This window comes from Homo sapiens, chromosome 16 (assembly GCF_000001405.40).
Source record: "Homo sapiens chromosome 16, GRCh38.p14 Primary Assembly".
Taxonomy (NCBI): Eukaryota; Metazoa; Chordata; class Mammalia; order Primates; family Hominidae; genus Homo; species Homo sapiens.
In genome coordinates, this window is record NC_000016.10 from 65,722,804 (window position 1) to 65,734,388 (window position 11,585).

The window sequence follows — 11,585 nt, forward strand, 5'->3', positions numbered from 1 at the left end:
AGTTTCATCCCAAAACCATCCCCCACACCCCGCCTGCCCATCCATGGAAAAACTGTCTTTCCACGAAACCTCTCCCTGATGCCAAAAAGGCTGGTGACCTCTGCTCTAGATGACACGGTAAATAAACTATCTCAGAGCCTGGTATACAGTAGATGCTCAAGAAACTCTTTCTTTCTTCTCTGGAAGCATTGTTTCTGTGCTAGAATATCTTTGTTTTTGAGAAGTACCACCAAGTTTTCTATTTTCTTTTTCAAGTTTTTTTAACTTTTATTTTAGGTTCAGGGATTCATGTATAAGTTTGTTATATAGGTAAATTACATGTCACAGGGGTTTGGTGTACAGATTATTTCATCACCCAGGTATTAAACATAGTACTCAGCTGCCACTCTCCCTCCACCCTCAAGTGGGTCCTGGTGTCTGTTGTTTCCTTCCTGGTGTCCATGTGTACTCAACATTTGGCTCCCACTTATAAGTGAGAACATGCAGTATTTAGTTTTCTATTCCTGAGTTAGTTCACTTAGGAAAATGGTCTCTAGCTCCATCCATGAAGCACCAAATCCCTCCAGCCCAGTAGCAAGGAGACAGAATTTTTACTCTGTCTCTGATGAGAAGAGTGTACAAAAGGGGCATAAAGTATAAACATACAGTCCACCGTACTCTGCCCTGTGGCCAGGAAAGACATCGCTGGTCTGTCACTGAGCTGCATGAGAGATCAAATAAATTTCTATTATTCACATGTACCAGTAAAAGGGAGACTTTCTGTTATCTTGACCCATGGTCATGATTCTGAGTGTCCCTACCAGTGAGAAAAGAAAAATGCTGAGGGTCCCTGAGCTGGGAGAGCCCTCCCGGGTTGCACCAGATAGACTTGTCCAGACCAAAGAAGTCAGAGCTTTAGCCTGGAGTCCGGAGAGGTAAGGATGACCTGAGCCAATGTCCCAGAAAAGAGCTGAAACAAGGCAAACAGACAGCAGCACCAAGTAATGGGCCTAGTCAAGAAGAAACAATGGAGTTTGGATAGAGAGCTGAAATGGGACACTGAGCCCAGATAATGCCTGGCAGGGGCAGTAGATCAGGCTGGAACTTTGGAATTTCCAACATTTCCTGTATCTTAAAGGACTTGGACCAAGAAGGGCAGTTAGGAGGAAGAGACCCAGAGCAGGGGATACCAGGGGAAGGTGGGAGTCTGGAAAACTGAGAAGAGGTCACAGGCAGGACCACCCATGAATGAGAGCTTGGTCCCAGGGGTGGGGACCCATGGAACTCAAAGAGCAGCTGTCATTGTCAAAACAATTTTTATCTCCAAGGAATACCCTAGACCCTATACTTTATCCCAGAGAATCCCAAGGACAAGGAAACATTTATTCCTAGTCAAGGCGATTGAGGCCACTTTGATCTTCCTGCTTGTGTGAATGAATCACGAATCCCTCCAAGTCCTGTTGAATGAATTCAACATGAGTAGAGATGCTTCCTATTCTTCTAAAATATACCACCAACATCTCTTTTCTTAAATGCTCCTGAGGTTCTCCCACTGGCCGTTGACTTCTCTGAACCTCAGTCTTCTCATCTATCAAATGGCGAGAATAATACTGAGATGGTGACAAGCCTTAAGAGGGAATTTCAATAAGAATCAGGGAAGCCATCCTAGGCTCTCTGGTTAAGCAGTGAGAATTCTGGAGTTAAATGTCTCAGTATCATGGCCCTTGTTTGATGTTCTCTGAAATTCAATTCTGAAAGAGCCATATCTAGAAAACAAAGCCACCCATAGATAACCTGAATGTTCTTTTGCTTTGAATCTTTTGTCTTCATCTCAAGATAGTACAGGAGTCCACCTCATGAAATCTTGCTGGGTATCAGCAGCATACTGCCTCACTTGGGAAAGACCCCAATGATACCAGCAATGTCAGGAGTTCAGGAAAGTCCAGATGCCTACAAAAAACTGTTCAGGGATTGCAGGTGATTGCTGTGTGTCCCTAGAAGGTATGATTATTTGGGGAAAGCTCAGGAAGTTATTTGAGTCTCCATCGTTTCCATTCTTTGCTTATCAAGACAGGTGTGGGTCTTTATGGTAATGGCAATAATAGCTACCATTTATTAAGTATTTATATTGGGGATGGTTAAGTATATGCATTGTCTCTTTATAACTACCCTATGAAATGAGTAATATCATTTATCTTCATTTTAACAGTAAGGCAACTGAGGTACAGCAGGATGAAATAACTTGCCCAAGTTACCCAAACATAAAGTTGGTAAAGCTAGTATTTCAACTCAGGCTGGTGATCCAGAACCCAACTTGTAAGCTTCTGCCTCTACTGCATTCTGAGTTGGGGGAAGTAGATGATCTTGGAAGAGATTTTTAAATCGGACAGGGAGGGTTGATTTCTATAAATATTGGTGGCAACCCTTCCCTTGATGCTGAGATTTACACACTATAATGCCAGGGGCTTGATGAATTAATAGGGTTGACTTATGTGAGTCAGACCTGTTCTTATCTTCTCTGTGTGACTCCTGCCCCAAAGGGGAAGTTAGAGAAGACAGAAAAGCAGAAGACAACAATACTGACCATCTGACCCACCCCCACCGAGCACAGCCAGGGTCAGGGTTGCCCAATTCCAGGTCTCTCACCAACTAACCTTCTAATTTTGTTGATTTCCAAATCCCAAAAGCCCCACCCATGCAGGATTGTGGGGAGAAGAGAAGCATGTCATCCCTGCTTTTTAATTCCTTTTTTCATCTTCTTATCACAAGTTCCTTGGTAATTTTCCAATTTCAAAGGAAATATTTGGAAGGATATCTGAGGACTGAATGAGTTCATGTTTTACACCAAATGCTTTCAACATGAGAATCCGCCCAGTCGTATCTAATAAAAATATCCTTCCTGAGCTGGTACCAGGAGGTTTCATTAAAATAGCAGTCGATAAGCAGAGCTGATTTGGCACCAAGGAAAAAAAATCACAGGCATATCATGCCTTTGGAATTCAAGAGTACAGCTGAATCAAGGCCCTTTTTAGTTGTCTTAGGACCATATTCTAAGTTTTGCCTTATCAGATACTGAGGAATACACTGTGGAAGGGAAGAAATAGCTTTTCTTCCCATCTCAGGTTCATGGCTGAAACCCGTATAACAAAAGACAGAGTAACAAGAGAAAAGCATGCAAATTTATTTAATGCAAGTTTTATGTGACACAAGAACCTTTGGAAATGAAGACCCAAAGAAAAGAGGAATTCTGTGTATTTCTACATGCTAATACACATGGGGTTGCGTCTCCTGTACCCAGTCAGTACTATGTCAAATTATACTGAACTGTCAAAGTGAGAGAAGTTTCAGAAATCTTTTCTCTATCCATCGTGCCAGAGGCAGAGAAACCTGCCATGGACCATTGCTGATGCCTTAGAAATCAGGTCCCCTCCTGCCTGTGAGTCAAAGCCTCTGTGAGCATTCTGAGAGATTTATTCCCAGGGTTTCATTCTCCTGAACACAATTGCCCAATTAACAAAAAAGCCAGAATAGGGGCCCACACAAATGGTTCCTAATATGTTCATTAATACATTTTCAAAGTTATTGCATGTCACAAAGTTACTGCATATCACCATGGGCTAGGTCCTCTGTGAGTGCTGGGGACTCCAAGTTGAACAGGGATCTCACCTACAAGGAGCTTACCATCAAACAAGGGAGGTAAGATGTACACAATGCAAGATAGGAAGTCATCATTGCTACAAGGGAATGAAAAGGAGGAAAGAATTATTCCCAGCTAGGAGGAGCATGGGATGCTTCCTGGAGGAGGCATCTGAACCAAGTTTTGATTGTAGGTGAGAAGTGGTGTCAAGGATGGGAGGGAGCATTCTCCAAGCATGCTTGGAGGAACCAAGCATAAGAGGATAGAAGACCAGGGCTGTGTGCAAACAAAGGGAATACTTAGACATTCGGGCTGCCCGGACTTAAAGGTGTATGGTTGGCTTTAATGGAAAAAAATGGTCAAAGTATAGTAATTGGCTTCTGTTTTCTGTATATAAGTTTGCTCATTAATCCAATGCACATACTGAGGTCCATTCCAGTACAGTTAATTTCTACTTCTAACTCCATTATTTTGATACAGCAGAAACCTTGGGGTTTTGATAAAGGTGAGAGGTATAGAGAGGCATGAGCTAAAACTCTGGAAAGCAAAACATCTTTAAAGCCCTCTAATTTTTGTCACTCTGGTCTAATTCGGATGCCTTTGCATATTATGATTCCCTGACTGACACACCTTTCTCCTTTATCTTTCTCTGGGGTTCTAAAAACTTAATTCAAATATCATCTCTTTTGTGAATGAAGGCTGCCCTCTTCCTGGCCAACTGGCAGTTTTGAGCTCCAGGTTCCCTCTTCTGCTTCCTCATCACACTCCACCCATCCATTCAGCCGTTGTCACACTCTGCTAAATTTATCTGTGTAAGTAACAACAGCAATGGTAAGGACAGACACTGTGTCCTGAGCACTCTGGATGTGCTGGGTTTTCCCTGCACCATCCGTCACTTCCTCAGAGGGACTGGAACTCATTATGGACAGGGACCTTATCCTATAATGAAGGGCACTGACCTCGAACCAGACTGCCTGGGTTGGGATCCTGGTTTTGCCACTTCTTTAGCTGTGTGAACTTGAGGAACTTACCAGCCTCTCTGTGCTTTGGTATTTCTCCTCTGAAATATGGGGATAGCAATAACACGCATATAATGAGTATTATTGAAATGGTCATGAATCATAAGAGAAAACAGAGGCCCCCGCGGTTTTAGTGGAGGGTGGTATATAATGTACCTAGTAGGCGTCCTATACAGAAATGTTTATTTTGTGATGTTTATTTTTAAACTCAGAGTTCTGTATGCTTAGGAACTGTGTTAACCCATTTATGCCTGCGGCTGCAATTTTTTGAATTTTTGCAATCAGACCTTGGCTATGACCTTGAGCAGTAAGAGTAAATAACTCCCTCATGCTTAGTGTTCCAACAATGGAACACTAGGCATAAATGGGTTTTAAGCACATGAGCAAATTTCCCAAGGTCCCTCCCAGCTCCAGTATTTCCCAGTCCCAGCTGCCATTCAGTGGCCTTGGGGTCATTTGGGAATGCCGTGTCATCCCAATGCATCAGGGTAGTGTCCCCCTAGGGGTAGAACCTCCTCGCCCGGGCAGGGCACCCAGTACACAGATGTTTCAGTTTACGCCTGAGACTTACAGCTGTGGAAATACCACCCTTCAAAACATTATGCCTTTTTTGTTTCTAATACATGAATTAGGTCTCAAAAAAAAAAAAGAAAAAGAAAAAGAAAAAGAAAAGAAAGAAAAGAAAAAAAAAAGAAAGAAAAGTAACAGATCTGTTTTGTGCCAGAGCTGTCTGGTCTCTCCAAACACTTAATCCAGCCGCTCTCATTGTCTGGGATCAAAGCGCCTTCCCCACACTGCAGCTTTGTTCTACTTGGAGCAGATGAACAGGCTGAAAGGAGAACTCCTTCAGGCTTCCTGCCCCTCCCTTCCCCTGAACTTTGAGAGAACAAAGAGATTTACAAGGCAAGGATCCCAACTACAAGGTGCTAATGATCAGAATCACATGCATCTGAGGTCTGGACAAGTGTTCCTAAGTCAGAAGGCTTCCAGGAGGGGGAGGCGCTTAAGGTAGGAGAATGGCAGCTGGGAACTAGGAACCAGGAATCAGGAGTTTGGAATTGCCTGGAGATGAGAACAAAACCTGGAATCAGGAGTGTTCAGGAATCACCTTGTAGAATACAAAGCACTCACAGGCATAGGTGCAACTCACCCAGGAAAAATACCCTCCCACCAACATGGCACATGTATACATATGTAACAAACCTGCACGTTGTGCACATGTACCCTAAAACTTAAAGTATAATAATAATAATAATAATAATAAAGAATACCCTCCCTCCGAAGGCCCCCTGCCCTCTGAGAATCTGGCAGGCTCCACTGGGTCCTCCCTGTTCCTCCCATGCCCAGCACCTGAAAGTAGCTATTTAGTCTCAGCCTGTGCTGAGAATGACAAAAGGGTTTCCTAAGAATGGCAGAGCACAAACTCTAGGAGACCTGTTTAGCGTAAATCAGCATCACCTCAAGGGTTTGTTAAAATAAGATTGCTAAGCCCCAGGCTCTGAGTTTCTGATTCAGTAGGTCTAGGTAGAGCTCCAGAATTTGCATTTCTAACAAACTCCCAGATGCTGCTGGTTCAGGGACAATCCTTTGAGAATCTGTATTCTGAACAATTAACTCTCCAGGTTCATACACAATAAACAATTTAGAGCCAATATAGTCTCCAATCTCAGCTTCCAGCTGCCTGTCCCAAGGATCTGGAGATCCCGTAAGCATTGGAGCAGAGTAAGCAGTCATAGCCCAAGTTAGATCTCGGTCCTTTCACGTGCATACCAGCATGGTTTGGTCGAGGTGGAAACATGCATGTCCCACTCTAAAACTCTTAATATAAACCACAGAGATGTACTGGATAATGCTGTGAAAAGCAGAGTAACCTGTCATAGCAGAGTGGGTGAGAGAGGAGATTTTTAAGGCAGACTCCCTGGATCCTGCAAGCCCACTTACTAACTGGGTGATCATGGACGAGATGCTTAGACTGTTAGCCTCTGTCTCCTTCCTTGAAAACTGTGGAGCAAAATGAACTTCCCATCACAGGGTTGTTAGAAAGATTAAACAATATAACCCAAATATAACCTCATATCAGGCTCTGTGGATAGCGATAGTTTTAAAAACCAATTTAAACTACATAACCTGCCTCCAATCAAACTCTCTGCCTTTTATGGGCTTAGCTTCTGCCTGCTACCTGTGGCTGTAGGTAGGATGATTTCAACATCAGTGAGTGAAATAAATGCCTTCTCACCTAAAGTCCCAAACAGCTGATAGATACCTCATTGAGCAGAGACATGGGCACCGAGATTTCACATATGCACCTCATTACCCACCCCCACCCCTGGCAGCAAGAACACATGGCATTCCTGTTTAACTTGGCCATGCCCAGGTTTCTGACATTTACATTCCAGCCCACACTGCCAGGGCAATGCCTGTTTCATAGCATTGCTGGGGAAAGGGTCTCGTTACATTTGCAGATATGAGCTGGAGCTTATGGAATTTCTGAGCGATTCTTTAAAGACAACCTCCAGGAAGAGAATGTTAGCTCAAGTTTTCACAACAAATAAATCCCCAAACATTTTGCCTTTGTCCATTTTGTGTTGCTATAACAGAATGCCTAAGATTGAGTAGTGGGTAAAGAAATGAAATTTATTTGGCTCACAGTTCTGGAGGCTGTAAAGTCCAAAGGCATGCACCAACATCTACTCAGCATCCAATGAAGGTCTTCTTGCTACATTGTCCCCCAGCACAAGGTGGAAGGGCAAGAGAGCATGCAGGCACATGCTTGATAACCTACAGTTAGGGAAGAAAGGGGGGTGAACTCACTCTTTTATCAGGAGCCTACTCCTGAAGTTATGGCATTAATCCATTCATAAGGGCTCTGGTCACCTCTAAAATGTGCTACCACTCAACACTGTTGCATTGGGGATTAAGTTTTCAACACATGAAACTTGGGAGACCCTTCTGAACCATTGCACATTTTCTACTTGAAACAAAAAGAGCAAAAAACATTATGGTGATTTTTTTTTTATCTTGTGAACCTTGATAGTAGATACATCAAGACTGACTCCCCCAGGACTCTGCTCAAGGAAGTGTTGAAAGGGAAGAATATCAGCTTCAGTTTAGCTGTAAGCACTCTCTGTCCATGGGCTAATTTTCTGAAGTTCTCTGTGAGCAAGTTAAGACTTTCTGTATGGTCTCAAAATAATCAAATCAATGACCAGATACCTTCGATGTCACACAGCTGAAGCAACTGTGAGGGGCAAGACAGTTCCTACAGGCTGCCAGCTGGGCTCACAGTCACTACATAATCATGGACATGGTACAAAAGGCAGACTGTGGTCCCCAACTGCTCAGAGAATCGAACAAGAGCTGTTCATGTCAGGACAGACTGGAGAGTTTAATAGATACACTATACCTTGTGAGCGAAAACTGTACCAAAAAAACAGTACACAGGGTAGTGGAACATGCCCATTAGTACAAATAGTTCTCAAATCACTTTCTCAAGTGCCAGTAAAATAAATGTTATTTTTGAGAATGTATGTAGTCAAGTTAAGCTGTCTACAACCAACCAAAGTGACTCTTCCTTGGTGAATCCAACCAAGTACTTTTTTGGGTGCTTAACTTTGGGGTTTGGGACAAGGCAGTGTTGCCCGTACCTGGAAATGGAAGCCTTATCTCTCTGGGCCAGATTCCCGCATTTCAGACTCACTGAGATAGTCAAGCAAAGTGCCAATCTATTCATTCCTCTCCAGAAATTCAGTTGTTACATAAGCCAGTGCTTTCTTCTTCATGGTCTGTCTGTTCTGTCCATGTTTCATATACACTAGGGAAAAGGTCTCCTGAGGAGTCTCAGATCAGAGCCTGGACCAAGCTGAGGATCCACAGTAGATGAAAGTCAACAAAGAGGCCCAATACACTTGTTGGCCAGAGCTCCTGAGCCTCCAGTTATAGTTGCTGAAATAGTGTGGTAGACTGAATAACAGTACCAAAGACATCCACATTCTTATCCCTGGAATCCATAAATGCCTTAAATGGCAAAGGGGGTTTTGCAGTGGTGATTATATTAAGGATCTCAAGAAGTATAGATTATTTTGAATTATCAAAGTGGGCTCTAAATGTAATCATAAGTGTTCTTATAAGAGAAAGGCAAAAAGAGATTTCACTGCACAGACAGGAGTTTGTGATGAGATGACTGCAGCAAGATGCTACAGGGCTAGCCTTGAAGATGCGGAAGGGGCTGGGAGCCCAAGATGGCAAGAAACGCAGCTCTAGAAGTTAGAAAAGGCAGAAGATCACATTCTCCCTTGGAGCCTTCAGAGGATGTGCAGTCTTGGACCTTGATTTTGGCCCAGTGAAACTGATTTTGGACTTCTAACTTCCAGAAGCATGAGAAAATAAATATGTTTTGTTTTCAAGTATCAAATTTGGAATAATTTGCTATAGCAGCCACAGGAAACTAATATAACTGAGCACTACCAAAATTCTGCTTCACTGAACTGCCCTTTTCTCTGTTCCCTATAGGCTCTTCCCATATTCTCCTTTTAACACCATCTTTCCCAGTGAGTCACCCACAACTCACTGGTCTTCCACACCTATTAATCATGTGTGGCAACCACCAAGTCACTTCAACAGGAGTTGAGACTGGGTGGAGGTGTGTTGGGTTTTCTGTGTGTGTCTAAGGTATGGCAGGCATCCAAGGTGTGTCCAAAGATGTGAGTTCTATGTCCTTGACTGTGACATTTAATCACTCAGGGCACAGGGTGTAAGATCTTAATGAGCTTTTTGACTCTACATTTCTATTTTAAACTGCAGGGATTTTTCACTTTTTCTAGAAAAGATGACAATAACTTTACATGATTTTGATAAGCATCAAATATATTTTTTTCCACATTCTCACAAATGCTTGCCTTTTTTTTTTTAAAACTTTTAGGTTCAGGGATACATGTGCAGGTTTGTTACACAGGTAAGCCTGTGTCTTGGGGGTTTATTGTACAGATTATTTCATCACCCAGATATTAAGCCTAGTACCCATTAGTTACTTTTCCTGATCCTCTCCCTCCTCCCACCCTCTACCTTCCAATCAGCCCCAGTATATATTGTTCCCCTCTATGGGTCCATGTGCTCTCATCATTTGTAATTTTATAGGTGAATTCTTTCTATAAACAACTAGTAATGGTTAACCTCTATGTAGTCCAATTTTCTATGTCACATGTAAGGGTGTGACACATATAAGGGTGACTCTATGACTGAGCACACAATAGCCCTATGCCATGGGGTACTCTTATTATGCCCATTGTACAGATGAGAAAACTGAGTTCTAGAAAGTTTGGGGAATGTGTGCAAGGTTACTTGGCTGATCAAGGTCACACAGGCAGTCAAGCTGGCACTGGAGCCTAAGCATTCTGACTCCAGGGGTCTGTCCACTTAACTGCCTCATACCACCACACTGAATGTGTATGAGAATGACTGTAACAGTCATTATAGGTACCTTGGATCCCGAGGTAGCTCTGACCCTTGCCCCTGCCTGGTGTGCCTTTACCGGGTCCTGTCATCCCCCAGGCTTCAGTGGCTGAGACCCGTGTCCTCCCAATTCAGGAGACATGAACAGGAGCCATAGCTCAGTGCTGATGCTAATCACCTCCAAGTCTATATGTTCCATAATGAGACCACCTAAGAAGCCATGGGCTGCCCACTGCTGTGAAAACATCCTTGTCCCACTTCCAAAGCTTGTGATTTGATGGAGATGAAGCTCAGATGGAACTCCAGGGCTGAGCCTGAGCCTTGTCAATTGGAACTGAAATTTTGGTTGAAGTGTGAGGCAGTCTGTTACCGACATTCAGGAGCAGTTTAAACACATTGAGTCCCTTGGAGACAGAAGCTCTCAATATGCCTCCCCATGTTTTATTCTAGCCTTCTCTGTACTGATCCATTTCATAAATATTCATTAAGCATCTACAACTCTCTTCTGGACACCAGGGCTGGAACAATGAAGGTAGCTCTACTCTATGCATAAAAGAAACATGCAACGTGGGGCACAGGCCATTCCAGTCATGAGGATCTGGTGTTGGGGCCCAGGGAGACAGTGGCTAAATTGACCCAGAAGAATTGAGGAGGGATTCAGAAAGACATTGATGTTTAGTGGAATTGTTAAGTCTTGCCAAACATGGAGGGAAGTATGCCCTATCAAAGAGAGGGAGCAGCTTACATACACACAAACTTGAATGTGTTAATGAAAAAACATCAGTGTGGCTAGAACGCTGGGGATATGGGAGGAGAGTCAGTGGAAGGTTGGGCTTATAGTCCTAAAGGGTAGAGATGCCCTTCCAGACCACAGCCTGATTGGGATTAAGATTATATACCAGGCTTACTGCAGTGAAATCTTACATGGACTGAGCCTTCAACCTTTCTTCCCTCTCTTGCTTCAAACTCTTGAACCTGAGCTCCAAAACGTGTCACTGCAATGCTCCCATGTTAATGAGCAAACATCAAGGCATCTCATTCATATGCAAATGCTCTGACAGACACTATATGAAATGAATTCAGATGGAATATGCCAGCATCCTTTTTTTTTTAATCCTTCCAGAGAGTTATGATGTTGCTACATAAGTTAATGAGAGGAATGGAAGAGCAAACACCGCTCTCGAAACCTGTCAACAGTATAACTATTTAGATGGGTATTAAAGCCAGACACTGTCATATAATTTGAGGGTATGGCTGAAGACATCTTAAGAATATTTTGTTTCTGACAATTGAATCATAATTTTAATAGACATCTCCAAAAAAGAGAAGCAATGGTTGCAGCCATATAATGTTTATTTAGGAGCTGGTGAAGATCTTTGATTCAAAGTGCTGGCTGAAATGACAGAACCCAGCTCCTGGGATGTCAGAGCTGCCAAACACTTAGAATTTTATTAGAACAGTAAGTGCCCAAGAAATATCAACACCATACTCGATAGGTAGGT

At 43.0% G+C, this 11,585-nt stretch overlaps 1 annotated feature.

Moving 5' to 3' along the window:
• Positions 5,206-5,780: an enhancer, noted in NCBI's record as "OCT4-NANOG hESC enhancer chr16:65761912-65762486 (GRCh37/hg19 assembly coordinates)". NCBI's record gives its function as "activates a minimal SCP1, AML or CMV promoter by ChIP-STARR-seq in naive H9 embryonic stem cells {active_cell/tissue: H9 hESC(naive)}" and the evidence as "EXISTENCE:reporter gene assay evidence [ECO:0000049][PMID:30033119]".